At 52.9% G+C, this 19,662-nt stretch overlaps 1 protein-coding gene across 2 annotated transcripts in view; it reads left to right on the top strand.

Moving 5' to 3' along the window:
- The window catches only part of MICAL3 (microtubule associated monooxygenase, calponin and LIM domain containing 3), a 236,913-nt gene that overhangs the window by 174,908 nt on the left and 42,343 nt on the right, over positions 1-19,662 (top strand). The window contains exons 20-21 of one of the 2 annotated variants that reach the window (NM_015241.3): positions 7,637-7,832; positions 17,547-17,800. In NM_015241.3, coding sequence (NP_056056.2) covers positions 7,637-7,832; positions 17,547-17,800 — 450 coding nt within the window. Of the gene's footprint in view, positions 1-7,636; positions 7,833-15,104; positions 15,320-17,546; positions 17,801-19,662 lie in introns of those variants that run through there. The other variant, NM_001122731.2, reaches the window with a different exon arrangement.

The raw sequence follows: 19,662 nt of genomic DNA, 5'->3' as shown, positions 1-19,662 counted from the left end.
ACACACACATTCCATTCTGGGCCAGGCACAGTGGCTGATGCCTATAATCCCAACACTTTGGGAAGTCAGGGCAGGAGGATCACTTGAGGCCAGGAGTTTGAGACCAGCCTGGGCAACATAGCAAGACCCCGTTTCTAAAAAAAATTCAAAAATTAGCCAGGCGTGATGGCGCACACCTGTAGTCTCAGCTACTCAGGAGGCTGAGACGGGAGGACCACCTGAGCCCAAGATTTTGAGTCTGCATTGAGCCATGATTGCACCGGTGCACTGTAGCTGGGACAATAGAGTGAGACCCTGTGTCAAAAACAAATTCTTTCCTGCATGATTGATTGGAAGGACTCTTAGAGACTAGGGTTATCCTTAGCTCTGGCTCATGTGAGTCTTTGGACATGTTATTCAACATCACTGACTCAGAGCCCTCAATGTAATCACAGGGACTTGTGGGATTTGTGATGTTTAAGGCCGTGTGTAGAGCCTGCCTGTCGTCGTGCCCGGCACAGGTAGTCGCTCAACAAACACTGCTGCTTATCCCTCATCGCCTGCTTCACAAGCAAGAAATACCTCATATCATGTGATCTTGGAAAACTCTTGTGAACACACTCTCCCTGCCAGTAGGAAGCCACAGAAGAAGTTTGTTGGAGGGCAGCGTGTGGGGATAGAAACCACCCTGACATAGCAGTGGCTTAGAAACTTCCTTTCCACACATGGCTCTGGGGCTTGCCCTCCTGGAATGAGAACATAGCTGTCAACGGTATAAAAATGTGAGCCCCATCAAGCAGCCTCTAAGGCTAGTGAATGGGGCAGCAGAGGAGAAAAGCCCAAGTTGATGGCACCAGGTGCCTGAGAATAAGTGCAGGAAGACCTTTTGTACACTGTAGGGCCCTTTAATAAGCCCTCTGAATCTTTCCTACCCAGGGGTGACTTCTCCTAAAAATAGGCTAGAGCCCTTCTCCCGCAGATACCAGTTGATGTGCAGCTTGACCAGAGGAGTGGTGAAGTCCCCGAGGCAGGTAGTGACCCATCCCACTACTTTAGGTTTCTAAGTCAGGATGGTAGCCATGTTGCCAATGGGATCTCCTGTGGGAACTTTAGCTCAAAGCAAGATAGGAGTGAACCAGTATCCAAGCTGATTCTTCACTGTATTTTGACCAGCCCAGATCAAGGCAGTGGGGTCCCTCTGCAGCTTCATACATTCCATAGGCCTGGCCCTAAACTGGAAAATGTCTGGGCCAGACATGGTTCCGAATGTTTCGGAACAGCCACACTTCACGTGGTGTCATCCCCGTTTCCCAGTATGTGAGGACGTGTGGGAGAACATAGGGACTGTACTGTTTCCAACTTGAACGGGATCAAACAGATGGAGGCATGGATCCCGCTTACAGCCCTGTCCATGATCTGGACTCTGTGCAAAGAGGGCACCCCAGTTTCCCAGGGTGATTTTGTGAGTTTCTGAGAACTGTGGATCAGGCAGCACGAACGTCACTGTGACCGATTTTGCTGCAGATCTGGAAACTTAGGCTCATGCTGCCAACCTGGCCGTTTCTTCACATTTCTCTTCCTTACATCTCCCCTGAGACGTTGCGGTTCAGAATGGGTTCATGGCTTGGTGCTTCCTTTAGTTCAAGAAGATCGGGGCAGGGAAGGCTTTGGGAGGACATATGGGGAAGGTAGCTGAAATGACGTTAGCTGGGCTGGGTGTGGTGGCTCACGCCTATAATCTCAGCTACTTGGGAGGCCGAGCTGGGAGGATCGTTTGAGCCCAGGAGTTCAAGACCAGCCTGGGCAACATAGCGAGACCCTATTCCTACAAAAACGTAAATAAGAGAAATAACCAAGCTAAAATGATGTTAGTTGATCTTTCTTCAGAGTCACAGCGAAAATACCCAGTACCGCCTGGTAAAAACAGTAGGAATGAGAGGGACTACTTAAGGAGAATCTCTGAATTCCAAAATGGCAGGAGCACACTTCTCAAATGGATGAGTCATTTCAATCAGCGCCATTCTTGCGGGAAGGTGACGCCGGAAGGTGGTCACGGTCGGCCCCTTTTATCTCCCTGAGGTCATCAGCCTCTCTTAGCAGATGGGTGACACCCATAGGCTATCAGAATGTGGGCTGCCCCAGGGCACAGATCTTGTCTGCTGTGTCACTGGTGTGCCTGAGCGCCTGCAGGGTGTCTGGCTGGAAGCAGGTGGTGAAGAAACATTTGTTGAATCAGTGATTGGATGAATGAACCCCTGCAGCCATCCTACTTACAGACATGGGAAACAGGATGGGAATCAGTCTGTGTACACAGCACCTTTCTTTCAGTCCTTGTCAGACTCGGATTCCATTCAAACTTTCCCAAGCTCATAAAGAAGGAAAGGAAAAAGAAGTGGGAGGACAGGCCAGAAAGAGGCAGAAGAGGCCCTTGACATCCTGATTTCCTACGCGACACCCTTCTCAGCGGCGCGGAGCCCTGAAGTGTCTTCAGCAGCTGCTGTGCCGAGTACAGGGGGGCTTTGCCACCACTGCAGGGAGGAGGAAGAGGAGCTGCCTGCTGAGGCCCTGGGAAGACCCTGCCTCTTAGTATCCTCTGCACCCGCCGATGCCTCTCCAGGAGTCAGGTGGAAGCAAATAAAGCCCCCTGCCAGCTCTTGCCCAGCAGCCGAGAGCAGGTTGTCCTGTTAGGAGAAACGTTTCTTCCAGAATGATGTGTGGAGCTCATGCAGGCAGTGACTCTTCCAAAGCAGAACCTGAGGTGCGGCCCAGAGCCTCTTTCCTATTTAGGATATGGCCCAGATCCTGGGAGCTGTTTCCTTGTGGTATGTGTGGGGCTGTAATTGGCCTCCCTGTGACCTGAGAGCTGCCTGCCCTGACTTAGTGAAGACTTGGCCTTGGAAATTATTGCAGATCTTTCATCCCGCTTTAAGCTGGAAAGTCCCTGTTGGGCTGTTGTTGCACTAAGGCATGTGGAGTAGAGGGCGGGAGGTAGGGCCAGCTAGCCCGACAGGCGGGGTGCACTTCGGCTTGGCAATCCAGCACCTTGCAAAGCGCTTGTTTACATCTGCACTCCTGCTCTCTCCTCCTGGGTTCTGCCATTAGTTGATGAGGGAGGAGGTCACAGGGCTGTCTTCGCTGCCCAGGCCCCTGCTGTTACCGCTCTCACTATCTTGGTTTCTCATCACCGCCTGATTCATCTGACAGAAAGCCCCTTGCTCAGGACAGAGAATCAAGGATGCTGATTGTTCCGATGTGTTTGTGCGTGTGGTTTTTTTTTTAATTTCCCATGGTATTTTGAGGTGAAGGGCTGGGAATGTGGAGCATATTTTGGCAGTTGGTGAGTTTGGGGTCCTTGCCCAGTGTCCTCTGAGTACCACCTTCCCTTTGGAAACACTGAACCCCCGGCAATGGCCTGCCAGTGTGCTTCCGTGTCCTTGTCTCTCCACAGGGTGAGCTGGAGCTCTGTGTGGACCTGGCTCAATGGCCTGGTGGGTCTGGCACAGGAGAGGCAACTGCTGCCTCCCAGCTCCCCTTTTCCACCGTCCCCAGCACAGCATTTCTGCAGGCTTTCTCCAGGGACTGGCGTGTGAAGGATCTGAACAGTTCCCAGTGCTTCTGGTTTCTTTTTTGTTGGTTGTAGCCAAGCCCAAAATTAAATCAGCATTTCCCCTTCCAGAGCTCTGGCCCTGGGCTTGGACTGCCAAGTTCTGTTGCCTGACAACCCATTAGTCTGCGGGATTTGCAGAATCTCCAGGGCAATAACAGTGGGAAGACTGAGTGTCTGTCATTCCAGATGCCAGATTCTCTGCTCCAAGAAGCTTTCATGAAGTGCTGTGTCCCTCACCTAGAAAATTACAGTGGGGAGGAGACAATGGTGAAGATGCCCAAAGGGGAAGGCAGATAGGGCTGTTGCGAACATGTGCCTGGTTTTTCTTCTTGTTGTAAGTCTTGGGACAGCATGGTGATCTCCTGAGTGATGCCTTTCCTCCTCATGTTCAGATCTTGGCTCCAGGGCTCACTAGCTGTGTGACCTGAACTTCAGTTACTTCATTTGCAAATGATAGTGCCTACCTCACAGAATGTTTTTTTTTTGCAGCCGGCTAACTCCATATGCCTCCAGAACACCTTTCTTGACTCTGCCAGGTGTGCTGACTCACTCTCTCTATGTTCTCCCATGAGTGCATACGTGGCTCATGGTACTTGACACGTCGTACCGAAAGGATTCCTGCAGGGCCCTCTCCCAGGTGCTACTGAAGCTCTTTTAGAGTAGAGAGTGTTTTAATCTGCTTTGTTTCCCGTGGTCCTAGTAGAATTCTTGCCAGACAGTATGCGTTCCCCACGTTACCCACGTCAAACAGACGCCTCTTGGATGTTTTCCTTCCCAAGTTTCGTTCACTCTACTGTAAAATCACTTCCCTCTGAATTGATGGCTGTTAGTTGTTTGTTTCCCTGAAGTGATAGTTCTTATCCTGTTTTTCTTCTCCCATCTAAAAGAAATACCACTTTTTGTTCCGTATTTATGGAATTCCCAGAAAGCTGATTCTTGGGTAGTTGCTTGACTTTATCTCCCTTTCTCATCTGCTTTCCATTGAATGGCAGTTGTCAAAAATAAATGATGGAAAGAATCAAATGGCGCCACAGACAGTGTATCCTCAGCCCTCCCCTGTTCATTATGGGGTGGCCGCCATGGATTTTGATGAGGAGAAGGAAGGGATGGGAAGACTGGTATTTGGGAATGATGAGCTAGTGCAGTTAGGGCCTTTGCTGTCCCAGGCCTGGGAGGGCAGGTTTGGAGAAACTTGAGGCCGGATCTATCAGGATTGCCCTCTGCCTCTTTTCTGCCATTACCTCTAGTCCACATTTCCTCATCTTCAAGATGCCCTAGCCCAGCATCATAGCATATTCTTTTTGTGCCCTGAGCTCGGTGTTGAAGAATGGAGCATGATGTTTAAAAAGGTCCCCCAGCAAGGATGCAAAGGCTAAAACAAGTGGGCACGTGTACAGGGCACAAGTGAACTCAAGTATTCGTGTTTTGCCCCTTCATCACACCATTACCTGAATTTGTATGTGAATACGCCACTGGATCTTGCTTTGTTAGTAAAGATTCTCTAGTGAATTCGAAAGATGCTATTTGGTGGAGGATGCCAGTAATTCCAACAGATGTGCCAAGACCTTATCCTGTGACTACCAGGGTTCATTAAAAGCTCTGTCTGAGGCTGCCACAAAGACGTTCAAACACTGCACACAACAGAAGTGCAGGCCTTCAGAAAACACTTTGTGCACAACCTGTCGTGCTACAAAAATTGCTGAATCACCTGCCGCTTTCCTTTAGCCAGGTTTTGCCTGATGGACCACCTGTCTCTCAACACTGGCTTGTATGATGTGGCATGCCAAAACCCAGCGTTGTCTCCTAGAGCTTAGAATGTTGCAGGAATCGGTGACCTGCCCAGCCAGGATGCCAGCCCAGTCATGACCTGCTCCCTCCAGCACCTCTGCCCCTTCTCTGCCTCCTTGAAGGTCTGGTAACACAGCCGGGCATGGTGGCTCCCGCTTGTAATCCCAGCACTTTGGGAGGCCGAGGCGGGCGGATCACGAGGTCAGGAGATTGAGACCATCCTGGCTAACATGGTGAAACCCGTCTCTACTAAAAATACAAAAAAACTAGCCGGGTGCTGTGGCAGGCGCCCGTAGTCCCAGCTACTCGGGAGGCTGAGGCAGGAGAATGGCGTGAACCTGGGAGGCGGAGGTTGCAGTGAGCAGAGATCGTGCCACTGCACTCCAGCCTGGGCGACAGAGCGAGACTCCGTCTCAAAAAAAAAAAATGTCTGGTAACACCAGGCTGCTACCACATGGCACTGTGCCTCAGCCCTGTTTCTCAGTAACGACTGTTCGCTCTCCAGAGCCTGTGGATGCAGCTTTCCAGGAGTATGCACACAGTGGTGGGGAAATATTACTGGACACCAGACTTGCTGCTTCACTCATGTTTCCTGGGCACTCCCCAGGTGGCAGGCGTTAAGTGGAAGAGGAAGGTGACCGTGTGTGTGGGGTGCAGGGTCAACACGCACCCCCACATGAGTATGTGTGCATCGTGTCACTCGGTGTCCATGACGGCTCTGGGAGGTGGGTGGTGCCATCATTTATCTATCAGGAAACGAGCTCTGAGGAGTTCTGTAAATTTTCTAAGACCCTTCAGCCAACTACTGGTGGAGCCAGGCATCTGGAAGATGAGGAAATCTGACCTGGGGTTGCCCGCCTCCACCTGGACCCGGTGCTACTCACATTACAGGGGACACACCAGAGGACTCATGACAGCCTCCTCTGACCAGGATCAGGAGGACAAGGGACGTCAACAGAGAATAGTGGTGATGATAAGGGAGGCAGCAGAACTGTTCCATGTTAAAGGAGACCAAAGCACAGTTGTAAAACACATTTTCAAAAATCCGAGTCCATAGCAGTACTTGAAAGTATAAAGTTAAAAATGGGAAAAGTGCTTCTTTACCAAAGAATGGTAGTGGAGGAGGAGTGATGGGATTTTTTTTTTTTTTTTTTTTTTTGAGATGAAGTCTCGCTTTGTCACCCAGGCTGGAGTGCAGTGGCGCAATCTCGGTTCACTGCAAGCTCCGCCTCCCAGGTTCACACCATTCTCCTGCTTCAGCCTCCCGAGTAGCTGGGACTACAGGCGCCCGCCACCGTGCCTGGTTAATTTTTTGTATTTTTAGTAGAGATGGGGTCTCACTGTGTTAGCCAGGATGGCCTTGATCTGCTGACCTCGTGATCCACCTGCATCGGCCTCCCCAAGTGCTGGGATTACAGGCGTGAGCCACCGCACCCAGCCAGAGTGATGGGATTTTAAAATCACCTGGTGTGACGCCCTGTGCACACAAAGGACTCCGGCCAAGATCGCCGACGATGCTGAAACCACAGGGTGAAAGGACGCAGGCAGGGCACCCCGTGGCTTCAGAAGCCCACGGAGGACTGATGGGGAAGTGTGCCTGTGCATCGCAGAGAGGCCTGGGTGCCACCTCTGTGAGCGGTCGGGCCTGGTGTCCTTCCTCTGAGCAGCGGTGCTGCGGTAGGGGCAGCATCGCCCACGTGGCCTTATGAAACCGAAAGTGCCTTATCTAACTGTGAGGAGACAGATCCGCAGCATGAGACGTTCTTCAGGCAGCTGGCCAGGCCCCCTCAGTGGTGGGGCACGTGCCTGGTGGGGACTTGGATCCCGGGGCAGGCATTGGGGGAGGCACCTGGTGGGGGCCTGGATCCCTGGGGCAGACTGCACCGGGGATGCCCTTCTCAGGCAAGGCTGCTTCAGGGGCACCTGGCTCCTGGCTGCCTGCGGTCTGGCCCACACCCCTCACCACCAGTCACTCTTGTGGGGAGACTGCGTCTCCCCTCTGGGGGCCGGGTTCAGGGTGATGAAGGAGAGAGAACGCTCTGACCTGGAGGGCAGACAGGGCCACCTTCCTTTCTCCTGCAGAGTGAAATTCCCTCTCACATGCCAGGGTCCTTCTCTGGCCTCTGGCAACTCTGCAAATGCTCTGACCTTTGTCCTGCCCCACATTCTGGCAGGAGGGCCTGCAGCCTGGGTGTCAGCCCCCACCCCCACGCCCCGTCTGTGGTTGGACCTCAGTGCAGTGCTTCTGTGCTTGTCCCGCAGGTTCAGGCGTGAACGGCCTGGAGGAGCCCAGCATCGCCAAGCGACTGAGGGGCACCCCAGAGCGGATCGAGCTGGAGAACTACCGCCTGTCCCTGAGGCAGGCTGAGGCACTGCAGGAGGTACCGGAGGAGACTCAGGCCGAGCACAACCTGAGCAGCGTGCTGGACACGGGCGCCGAGGAGGACGTCGCCAGCAGGTCAGCACGCAGGGCTGCAGGGCGCCCACCCGCCACACGGCCCTAAGAGCCTCCTCACCTCTGTGTGTCTCGGTTTCTTCTCAGTGAAGGGAGGCCTCCTGTCTTTCCTGCTGCCCGCAGTCCATTCTCCCCAGTCCCTTTTAGGTTCTTAGCCTCATCTTCTAGTCAGTGAGGACTCCTCCATCAGACTCAATTCAGAGATTCAGGAAGTATTTATTCCTTGAGGACCTGACATGTCCCCAGCTCCAAGTCTGTCATTGGGAAGGAAAGTGGCAGGCTCTGCCCCCGGGTTATTCACAGATTCAGCAGAGGGAAGGACGGGCACACGGGGAGGGACTCTGGGTGATTCAGCCACCAGTGCACCGGGCCGTCTTGAGGGAGGCCTAGTCCGTCCCCCAGGCATCTTTTTTTCTCCTGTAGGTAAAGAAAGGGACTGAAAATGTGTGCCCCAGGGGCCGCATGCAGCACCAGTGGATGCATGCTTAGGCAGTTCCAGAGCTGTAATCACATCCAGCTGGGTGACACCTTTGGGGATGTGCATGCTATAACCCTAGGACTCCCTATATCCACTGCCCTGCACCCCAGGGCTTCCAGTATCAGCGAAGGCTTCAAAGTGTTCAGCCGATTACAGATGATCAAGAGAGCCAAGAATCAAAAGGGGGTCCGGTGTCCTGTGGGGCTTCAGGACAGAAACACAGGCTGCAAACCCGAGGGGCAGAGGCCTCAAGTGGCCTTGGAGAGCATTTGAATCACACACCTTGATTTAGCCATGATGAAGGGAACATGTGGGGATAAGGAGAGCAGAGCAGTTTTTTTAAGGTCCAAGAACGCTTTCCAGAAGGTGTTTGCTGGGCCGAGCTGCTTTCAGCTGCACCCGCCACCTCAGCCCTCATGTCAGACACCCTCTGCCTAGATTCATTCTTGGGCTGCCTCACAGACCGCTCCTCCGTGCATGCCGGGGGCAGCCTCTGCCTTGGTGTCTGCAGTTCCAAAGCTGTCACTGATGGTGCATCCTCATCCAGAACTCTGCTTCCCTATCCAGAGCACCCATGGAGGCCCCACTCTCCCCACTGTGCCCAGATGAGGGGGAGCCCACTCTCTCTCTCCACTGACCCTGCAGTGAGGGTGAGAGATGCTGTGTGTCAAAACACATTTATAAACCCTTGAGCAGAGCTACTGGCTTGACCTTGGGCTGAGTGTGGGTCAGCACCATTTTCTCCACTGTAATTTATAAATTGTGAGAGGCAGTGGGGCAGCAAGTTCATGTAATGTAGCAAGGACATTCCAGGAAGGCTAACCCCTGGCATTTATGGCAGGTATGACAGGAGGGCAGCACAGAAAACATGAAATCAGTCAGCATCTATGCAATGCAATACATGCCTCATCTTACTCAGATTGAAGTTAAAAAAAGATTTTAAAACTAGCATTCATGCTGGGCGCAGTGGCTCATGCCTGTAATCCCAGCACTTTGGGAGGCCAAGGTGGGCACATCACTTAAGGTCAGGAGTTCAAGACCAGCCTGGCCAACATAATGAAACCCTGTCTCTACTAAAAATACAAAAATTAGCTGGGCATGGTGGTGCACACCTGTAATCCCAGCTACTTGGGAGGGTAAGGCATGAGAATTGCTTGAACCTGGGAGGCGGAGGTTGCAGCGAGCCGAGATCATGCCACTGCACCACTGCACTCCAGCCTGTGTGACAGAATGAGACTCCATCTCAAAAAAAATTAAAATTAAAATCAAAAAATAAAATAAAGGCCAGGCACGGTGGCTCACACAGGAGAATCACTTGAACCTGGGAGGCGGAGGTTGCAGTGATCTGAGATCACACCAGTACACTCCAGCCTGGGAGATGGTGAGACTCCGTCTCAAAAAAAAAAAAAAAAAAAAAAAGATAATTAAAAGTAGCATTCAGTGCTATACAGAATGAAAAACAGTCTCTTAAAAGTGAAGAGCCGGGTGCGGTGGCTCACGCCTGTAATCCCAACGCTTTGGGAGGCTGAGGTGGGCGGATCACTTGAGGCCAAAAGTTCGAGACCAGCCTGGCCAACATGGTGAAACCCCATCTTTACTAAAAATACAAAAAATTAGCCGGGCATGGTGGCGGTCGCCTGTAATCCCAGTTACTCGGGAGGCTGAGGCAGGAGAATCACTGGAACCCAGAAGGCAGAGGTTGCAGTGAGCCAAGATCGTGCCATCAAACTCCAGCCTAGGCAACAAGAGCGAAACTGCATCTTAAAAAAAAAAAAAAAAGGGAAGAGCCCAGCTAGGTGTGGTGGCTCATGCCTGTAATCCCAGCACTTTGGGAGGCTGGGGTAGGCAGATCACTTGAAGTCAGGAGTTCAAGACCAGCCTGGCCAACATGGTGAAACCCTGTCTCTACTAAAAATACAAAAACTTGCCAGGTGTGGTGGCACGCACCTGTAATCCCAGCTACTCAGGAGGCTGAGGCAGGAGAATCGCTTGAACCCAGGAGGCAGAGGTTGCCGTCAGCCAGATTGTGCCACTGCACTCCAGCCTGGGCAACAGAGGGAGACTTCGTCTCAAAAAAAAAAAAAAAAATGAAGAGCCCGGCCTGGTGCGGTAGCTCATGCCTGTAATCCCAGTACTCCGGGAGGCCAAAGCAGGCAGATCACCTGAGCCCAGGAGTTTGAGAGCAGCAGTAACATGATGAAACCCCGTCTCTACAAAAAATATGAAAATTATCCGGACCTGCCTGTAATCCCAACTACTCAGGAGGCTGAGGCAGGAGAACCACTTGAACCAGGGAGGCAGAAGTTACAGTGAGCCAGGATCATGCCATTGCAATCCAGCCTGTGAGACAGAGCAAGACCCTGTCTCAAAAAAAAAAAAAAAAAAAAAAAAGCATCTAGGGGAAGGAGCTATAAATGTTGTCTTACTTCCCTGGGTGGCCGTAGGACACAGGACGGGAAGTGCGTGGTGTTTTTCTCTGTCTTCCCTACAGCACCAAGCACAGAATTGGGTGCCTTTCCAGCCGTCGGTCCTTCCTTGCTGAGATGTTAGACTGGAAGATGAGAAATGGCATCATTTTAAGGCATTAACCGTTCCAGCCAAGGAACTCTCATTTCACAAGTTCAGTGAACTCTTAACTTTGGCCTCTGCTGCAGGGGACAGCAGCGTGATGTTTCAGAACCTGACTTTGGAGTCAAACAAAGCCTGGATTTGAAGCCCAGTTCTGCCACCTGCTAGCTGTTGGCAATTTACTTAACCTCTCCCTGCTTCAGTTTCCTCATCTGCAAAGGTGCTGCACTTCATAGGTTTGTTTTGAGGATTAAGTCGTATAAAGCACGGACGAAGCCTTGATGCCCGGAGTTACTGCTCCTGTTACTCTCCTGGTACAGCACAGGTCTCCCTCACCACAGGGCCAGGGGCAGGGCCAGGCAGCCTTGTATTGGTTTCCTTAAACGGGGTTGATGCCGGGACTTGGGTTTGGCTCAAGCTCACCCTGTCCGAGAATGTTGGTAACCAAGCTTTCCCATGCCAGAGTCACCCAGGGCTTGTGATGAAAGCACAACACGTTGGGCTGAGTTTCTGATTCAGCGCCTCTGGGGTAAAGCCCCAGAATTTTTAGTTCTCAAAAGTTCCCAGGTGATGCTGTGGTCCAAAGACCACAATTTGAGAAACACCACTTTAATGTTTCTAAATTTCTCTGATAATAAACATCACCTGGGATGCTTGGCTAAAAATATAATTGCAGCCAGGCATGGTGGCTCACACCCGTAATCCCAGCACTGTGGGAGGCCAAGGCAGGAGGATTGCTTGTGTCTAGGAGTTCAAGATCAGACTCTGCAACAGAGCAAGATCCAGTCTCTACAAATTAGCCAGCGTGGTGGTACGCTCCTGTGGTCCCAGCTCCTCAGGAGGCTGAAGCAAGAGGATCGCTTGTGCCCAGGAGTTCACTGCCTGGGTGACAGAGTGAGACCCTGGCTCAAAAACAAAACAAAACAAATGTAACTTCTAGGCGCACCCTGGAGTATCTAATTCAGTGGGTTTGGGGTGGAGGCCAGGAATGTCAGTGTCCAACAGACCCCCCAGGTGAGTCTCATAATCAATTCATGGTTTAGTCACACAAGCGCCTATAAATCCCAAGCCTTGTCACAGACCCTTGGCCCAGGCCTAATCAGCTTCATGCCTCTACCTTGCAGGCAAGGTGGGGCCTGTCTCCTGGAGGAGACCCTGGAAATAGCAGCTTTGTTTTCACTGGAAAGGCCAGTGGGCCAAAACCAAGGGAGGGCTGGCTTTGTGATGTTTGTGTTGTTTTCCCTGACTGCCTTCCTTTCTGGAAGAATGTGCCCCGGGCAGCAAAGGCAGCTGGTGCAGTGCCCACGTGCTGAAGTTCTTTAGCATTTCCACATTCTTGGCTCTAGAGAGAAGTCAGGAGGGCTAGCACACACAGGTATGTTTTCTGATGGCACAGGCGAGGTCACAGAAAAGTGGATGGCAGGCGTTGCTGTCTGTCAGAATAACACGAAAGTGAGAGAAGGCCGCTCTTTCAGAATAACACCACGAGTGGGAGAAGGCCGCTCCCTCAGGGCTGGCCATGAATAAATGGGGATTTCTGCCTGTTCTCTCCCTCCCGCCTCACTCCCTTTTCCTGCAGAGGCAGCTCCTGAGCCATTGCCGAGCAGGATGCTAGTTTTAGCATGGATTACATTTCCACCGTGTAAAGCCTGCTGCATGATGTGCATCTTCTCCAGCCGCCTCCTCAGCAGGAGAGGGTTTGCACAGTTGTCAGGGAAGGGAACCTAGGGGCATGGCCCAACGGGACAGAGGATTTGAGTCCCTCTGATTATGAGCAGGTTAATTTAAAAGTGAAAACCATGGTTACCCATTGCCCTTTAAAAACCACCCAGGGGCCGGGCACAGTGGCTCATGCCTGTAATTCCCAGCACTTTTGGAGGCCGAGGCAGGCAGATCACAAGGTCAGGAGATGGAGACCATCCTGGCTAACATGGTGAAACCCCGTCTCTACTAAAAAAGTACAAAAAATTAGCCAGGCGTGGTGGCGGGCCGAGTAGTCCCAGCTGCTCGAGAGGCTGAGGCAGGAGAATGGCGTGAACCTGGGAGGCGGAGCTTGCAGTGAGCCTAGATCGCGCCACTGCACTCCAGCCTGGGTGACAGAGCAAGACTCCATCTCAAAAAAAAAAAAAAACCACCCAGGAACTTCAAGTGGTTCCTGGCAGCAGCCTGCTCTTTCATGGTAGGGTCTGCTTGAATTCCTGGTCTGCACTTCTCAGGTTGCATCCAGGCAGGCAGGAGCTTGATCAAGACCTTCTTCCTGACAGTAGCCACCCTGACAGAGGCTACTGGCTGGGAACTCTTGGGTTCTGGGAGAAGCACCCAGGAAGGCACAGCATGACTCCGTGTGGACCCTGGTGGGAATCCCGACTTCTCCTTATGCAAATGACCCAACTTCCTTAGGCTTCGGTCTTGTCATTTATAAAAGCAGCGCAGCCCCGTGACCTAGAGCATTTGTGCGATTAAATGAGCTACCCATGGGAAGCACTTTGTGCTGCGGGCACGCGGTCAGGGCTGCCCTCCGTCAATCACTGTCATCCTCGGATCCGCCCCTCTTGACACAGCAGAGGACTGCAGAGCACGTGAAGTGGAGCAAACCTTGTCTGTTTAGAATCAAGTGCATGTGCCTGTTGGATTTCTTTCCCATGCTAGGTCTGCCAGTGTCTCAGTGAGAAGACAGCTGGGGGGAAATTCAGAGCAGGTGCTTTGAGTTGAGTAGCTGGGTATAAACTGAGACAAGGAGGGATTTTGCTGGACGCTCTTCTAACTGGAATAGCCAGCACCTTCTGATGGAGGCTTTACCGGGGGACAGTCGGGGTGCAACCTCTGACATCTCTGAAAGTAGCGTAAGCCTGCCCTGGCTTTCACCGCAGCCCCTGGCACATTCCTGCTGTCCTGGCCACACTTGGCCCTGTGAGGAGCACAGTGGTGACCCGGCACCTGCCCTTGGAGAGAGTGTGACCCTGGGGGAGGCAGACCCCAATCAAGCAATCTCACAGGACAGTGCGTTGTCACCAGTGCCAAAACAGATCCTGTGAGGAGGGCAAGGTGATCCTGATGACTAGATCTGACCCCGTCCCTCCTGGGAGGCAGTTCTGAAAAGTCAGCCTCCCCAGAGGGAGGGAGAAGTTGTCTGTGTTGCATCTGTTTCTGGTATAGTGATCCTCTGTGCTTAAGAAGTTTCCAGGCTAAGGTCCAAAGGGTCGGCCACACTGCAGCTTCCTCCCTCCTCTGCACCTTTCCTCCAGAGATGCAGGTGCTGGGAGCCTCGAGGTACTGAATTCACACTGTGAATCTTGTGTGTGACGCACAGGACCTGGGCCAACCCAGAGACTGCCCTAGTCCTTTGAAAATCATGGACTGGAAAGGAGTTGGAAACTCCTGCCGGGTTCCTCTGTGTCCTTCATGAAGAGAGGGTGGCCTGTCTGGGAGCTGCAGAAGCAAGCGCCAAGGTGTCTGGGAGGTGGGCTGGGTTTGCAGCTGATGCACGGAGGTGAGGGTTGCTTTCTGCTGTCTTCTGTGCTCCCGTGGTCCTTGAGCTGTTGTGAAACCAGCTGATGCACGGAGGTGAGGGTTGCTTTCTGCTGTCTTCTGTGCTCCCGTGGTCCTTGAGCTGTTGTGAAACCAGCTGGTGCGACACGGCTGTGGGCTGGCCTCGCTGGCCTCATCTCGGGGCATCTATTCAGTGCCCACATTGTGCCTGTGCAGCTATCCTCACGACATGGCGCAGGGTGAGGACAGGCCTGTGCTGAGGCCCCCTCCCAGTGAACTGCAGTGCGGCCCTGCCCTGCTGCCAACTGCTGGGCAGCCTTGCACAGGCCCCGGCTGCTCAGCTGGGAAAGAGGAACCAGGGGGCCTTCCCTTGGCCCAGCGAAGATTTAAGATGAGCATAGATGCATCCTTAGCCTTATTTTATGTTCAAACAGTGTTAAATGACATGCACTAGGTTATGTATTGTTGTTCATTAATAAGAAAGTAAATTAATGAAAACACAAGCGTAAGGCAGAAAGAATACCAATAAAGGTAATGCTGAAAAATAACCAAAATCCAGATGCCAAGTTTTCCGTGGCCCAGATTCTTAGGTTTGCCCACTTTCGACCTCTCCTCCTGGCCCTCCGCCCACCGTGCTTGTGTTCTGCTGCGCTTTAGCATGATGTGCGTACACCTTTCCTCCCCTTGAGAATAAGGAGCTTTTGTTATTTTTAATTTATTTTTATCTTTATTTTTTGTAGAGACTGGGTCTCCCCATGGTTGCCCAGGATGGTCTCAAACTCCTGGGCTCAAATGATCCACCCACCTCAGCCTCCCACAGTGCTGGGATCACAGATGTGAGCTACTGGGCCCAGCTGAGCATAAGAGTCTTTTCTGTGTCACCTTTGTGTTCCCTACAGTGTCTAGCAAGTGCGTTGTGAGGGGAAGATAATTGAATAAATTTTATCCAGGTAAATGAACAAGTGAAGCTGATTCACTACCCTGAGCTCCTTGCAGTATATTCTTTTGTCCACTGGCTGAGCTGTAGGTGCTCAGAAATGTTCACCGAGTGAATGAATGAATGTGTCATTGAGCAAACTCAGAGAGCACAAATAATCAACTCACAGTCACACAGCCAGCCAGTAGCAGAGCTGGTGTGGCACAGTGAGGAAATGGCCAGCTGAAAAGAGGGAATACAGCCCACAAGACTGCCCCACTTCTGACCCCAGTGGCGAATTCCGGAGTCTCCCAGAATCACCCACAGGTTTGATAGTTTGCTAGAGCTCGCAGAACTCACTGAAAGCTGTTGTACTCATGGTTATGGTTCGTTACAGGGAAAGGGTACAGATGTCAGTGAGCCAAGGGAAGAAGTACATAGGGTGAGTCCAGGAAGGAACCAGACTCAGCTTCCATTGTGCTCACTGTGGGGCCAGGACAGCTGTACTCTCTTGGTCTCGATGTGTGACGATACGCCAGGAGTATTGCTCACCTGAGCAATACTAAGACCCTGTGTTTGGAGTTTTTATTACATAGGCAATGATTGATTGATTATCCACATGGTTGATCTCAGTCTCCGGGTCACTGGATACCGTGCTACCCAAAGCCTCACCCTAATCACATTACTAGACTATGCAACATGAACCGGGGTCTCCGGCAAACAGTGACAGCCCCATAGGCAGGGCACCCCAGGCGTGTCTAGGTTACTTTCGTGGAGCCAAGGACAAGGGCTGGAGTCCTCTCTTTGGACAAGGCGAGATTCTTCACCTGGCAGTGATCGCCCTGGCAGTGCCCCTCAGTGCTCATCGTGGTGTATTTACTGGTTCGCCCTCTCACACACAAGCAGGCTAGGGGAGAGCCTGCCTGGGCAGAGAGAGGACACACCCTCGCAGGAGGTCAGGGCAGATGCCCTCTCGTGCCTGATGCTTCTTGGATTTTGTTGGGCCAGAGGTCGGGCCATGGCTTTAACGTGAAAGCTGATTTCCCCCGGCCTCTCACTGCAGGCAAGGCCTCTCCTGAAAAAGATGCTTTGGGAATTATCAGACCACGAAACACTCAGAAACATCTCCATTTGTGCAGCAATGTTGGGGTTTTGCGTGTATTGGAGCCCCACAGGTTGCAAGGAACCCGGTTTTGTTCCTGTCCTGCCTCCCTCCACAGGGCAGGAGTGGGGTACACTGCAGCAGGAGGGTGGCCAGAGCGAGGAGCTACGGTTTGGGTAGTGTCCGTTGTGGCATGTGCATTCTTACAGGTGTGCGGCTTCCTATGTCGGCCACGCTTGCCTGCAGCTGTGAGGGGAGTGCTTGGCAGTGCAGCAGCTGGCAGGAGCGATGGCCCTGGGGTTGGAGGTTTGTCTCCACCCTTTCCCCATCGTCTCTGTCCTGTGGCTTTGCAGTGAGCGGTGCCTTTGCCGTCATTTCCCTGTGTGTCCCCACAGTGTCCTGCTCAGGGATTGGCACGTGGTAGGGTTCTAAGGAGTGCCAGGAAATGGAATCTGTCGCCCCACCCCAGCACACAGACCTTGATCATCAGCCAGTTAAGTCCAGGCCTTTCTGGGTCCCCCCTCCCCCCACCACACCCACAGCTCTCCTGAGAGGCTTCTGACAGGCCGCAGTCACACAGAATTGAGTTCCTCTAACTAGACAGTGGGCCAGGATGAGAGAAGACTTTCCATTCTCAATTCCCAGGGTCATGGGTTTATATCAGAATGAGTCCACTGCCCTGCTTGTGCCCTCGAGGCCGTCTATGAAACGTAAACCAGCGATCTCAGTGTTTGCTGCTTGAAGCACCCTGAGGGATGGGGCTGTGGCTTGAGTTTGAGCGGCTGCAGTCAGGAACTTCCATGGGCTCCGTGAGGAGCTGCTCTCCCAGTTCTGCACACTCCCCTCCACAGGCAGAGGCTGGGCCAGACCCACAGGCAGCCTTCGGTGGTCCCCTCCCTACCCCATCCACCTGAGGAGAAGTGCGTGAGGTCTGTGAGCAGGAGGCATTCTTCCCTTTGTCCCCTTAGTCGGGCTTGGGTAGGTGGCTTCTCATGCCCAGGTACCCTGTCCTGCTGATGCCGCTCTCTCCTCCCTCCTGTCTCTCTCCGCCTGCTCAGCAGCTGCTTTGCCTGACATGCATTGTTTCTGATGGTGGCCCTTCCCCTTCCCCTTCTCAGTTTTTCTTCATTCCCTCACTCTGGCTATGTGGTTATTTCCTCACAGTAGTTCCGAGTCTGAGATGGAGGAGGAGGGAGAGGAGGAGGAGGAGGAGCCTCGCCTGCCCCCATCTGACCTGGGTGGTGTTCCGTGGAAGGAGGCCGTGCGGATCCATGCCCTTCTGAAAGGGAAAAGTGAAGAGGAGCTAGAGGCCTCAAAGAGCTTTGGGCCTGGGAATGAAGAGGAGGAGGAGGAGGAGGAAGAATATGAAGAGGAGGAGGAGGAGGACTATGACGAGGAGGAGGAAGAGTCCAGTGAAGGTCAGAACAAAATCTCTGCTCCGAACTCTGCCCTGCCCCCCAAAGTGATCTGTTTCATGCGTGAGTGTAAGAGGTTTCTGGGGCTGACGTCACACGGACGTGCCTCCTGCACAGCCCAGGGACCACCCCTCCTGACATAAGACATGGGGGGCAGAGGGGAGGACACCGTAGCGTTGAGCAGGCGGTTGGCAGTGGAAGTAATGTCCCTTGTGCACATTGGTTTAGAAACTGGAAGTGGAAGGCAGAGAGCCAGTCCAAGTACTCATCCAAGTTAGGCCACTCCTACTTGTCTCCACCTCGTTTTCTCTTTTTGCCCTGTAGTTTCAGTTGAAAAAATTAATAAGGAAAGGGAATTTAGCTTTCTAGAGGATTCCCTGATCCTAGTCTAGGGTTTCGGAGGTGGCTATGAGCTTAGTGCCCACTGGATGGGGCTCAGTTGATGGCACGCAGGGCAGCGTTTTGGGGACAGTGTCCTGAAGGGATACTCAGGCCCAGGGGCCAGCCACTCTGGCTGGTTCTGAAATAGTCTCTTGCCTTGGACTTGAGATTTTTCAATTCTGCCCCATCTCTGGGTGTGTGTGGCCTCAAGTGATGAGGAGGGACTTGCTGGGCCTGTGCAGGAGAGAAGGCCATTCTTTCTCTGCTCCAGCAGCGCAGAAGTCTGGGGGGTGGTGAAGACGGAGCCAGGGCAGGTGGAGATCTGAGTCCCCAAAAGATAGATGTGGAGTGAGCAGGAAGGACATGACCTTTAATTTCTGAGCACCAGTGACTCCCTGCAGCGGTCAGAGGATCGGTTGAGTTCTCAGTGACCCCAGGCCCTGCAGAGCTGGCACTGTGCTCATCTCTGCTTCTCCTGGCACCTGTGTGCTTGCTGCCCAGTCCCATCCGGGGGTCTGTTTTCTCTGGCACACAGGGCTGAGCCCTTGCCTGACAGGGCTCATGTTCCTGATCCAGTCCCCTGGGAGCTGTGCAGCTCCAGGATGTTGGCCCCAGTGAGGTGGGTTAGCAGAAGGAACCGCACCGTTGGGCGTCCGCGAGAACAGCTGGCGTCAGGGACTTCCTCGGGCTCCCTAAGGACCTGCTCTCCCAGTTCTCTACTCTTCCCTCTGAGGCAGAGGCTGGGCAGGACCCACAGGCAGCCCTTAGTGACCCGCACTCCACACCCTGTCTGCCTTAGGAGAAATGGGGTCTGTGAATCTGGGCTCTCCCTCCATGCTGCCGTGTCTGCGGAGCCAGGTGCCGGCGTGGCCTCTGCTAGCCAGCAGAGTGAGCATGCACAGCTGGTCCAGGGCACGGTGTTTTGTTTGCACTGTTCCAGACATCGTCATCTCCATCTGATGATGATCACTCGGCAGCTTTGAGCCCTGGCACAGCTTCGGGTCGAAGCACGTTCCCTTTTCAGGAGAGTTGAGCCGAGCTTTCCTTCACGCAGACTTAATTTCCTGGACTTAGTGCTAACGTCAAGACCAAACCTGTAGGAAAAGAGCTTTAACTACACAAACACATACTGACAGATTCAGCCAAACTCCGAGAGTCCCAGACCGGAGCCTGTGTCCCTAGCGCAGGTGTGTCTGTCGGGCAGCCGACGGTGCCTGTGCAGGCAGTGGCTGGACACCACTACTCCCTTCTCTTCCCTCCCTGCTTGATCGCGCTGTGGGATTCCTGATGCTGTGTGGGTCTCTGGCTCCCCCTGCTGTAGAAGGGGAGTACTGCCCCTGGGACACAGAACTGCAAGGCCAGTGGCGCCAGGTACCTCCCACAGGAAGAAGATTTGAGGACATTTAAAGGTACCCACTTTACCCCGTGCCCACCTTCTACCCCAGCTCCCTGGCAGCCATCCAAAATTTGCCTCCAAGAGCATG

The sequence above is a fragment of the Homo sapiens genome, chromosome 22, assembly GCF_000001405.40.
Source record: "Homo sapiens chromosome 22, GRCh38.p14 Primary Assembly".
NCBI lineage: Eukaryota > Metazoa > Chordata > Mammalia > Primates > Hominidae > Homo > Homo sapiens.
The sequence above is the reverse complement of the archived record's forward strand: the minus strand, read 5'-3'. Positions and strand labels throughout refer to the sequence as shown.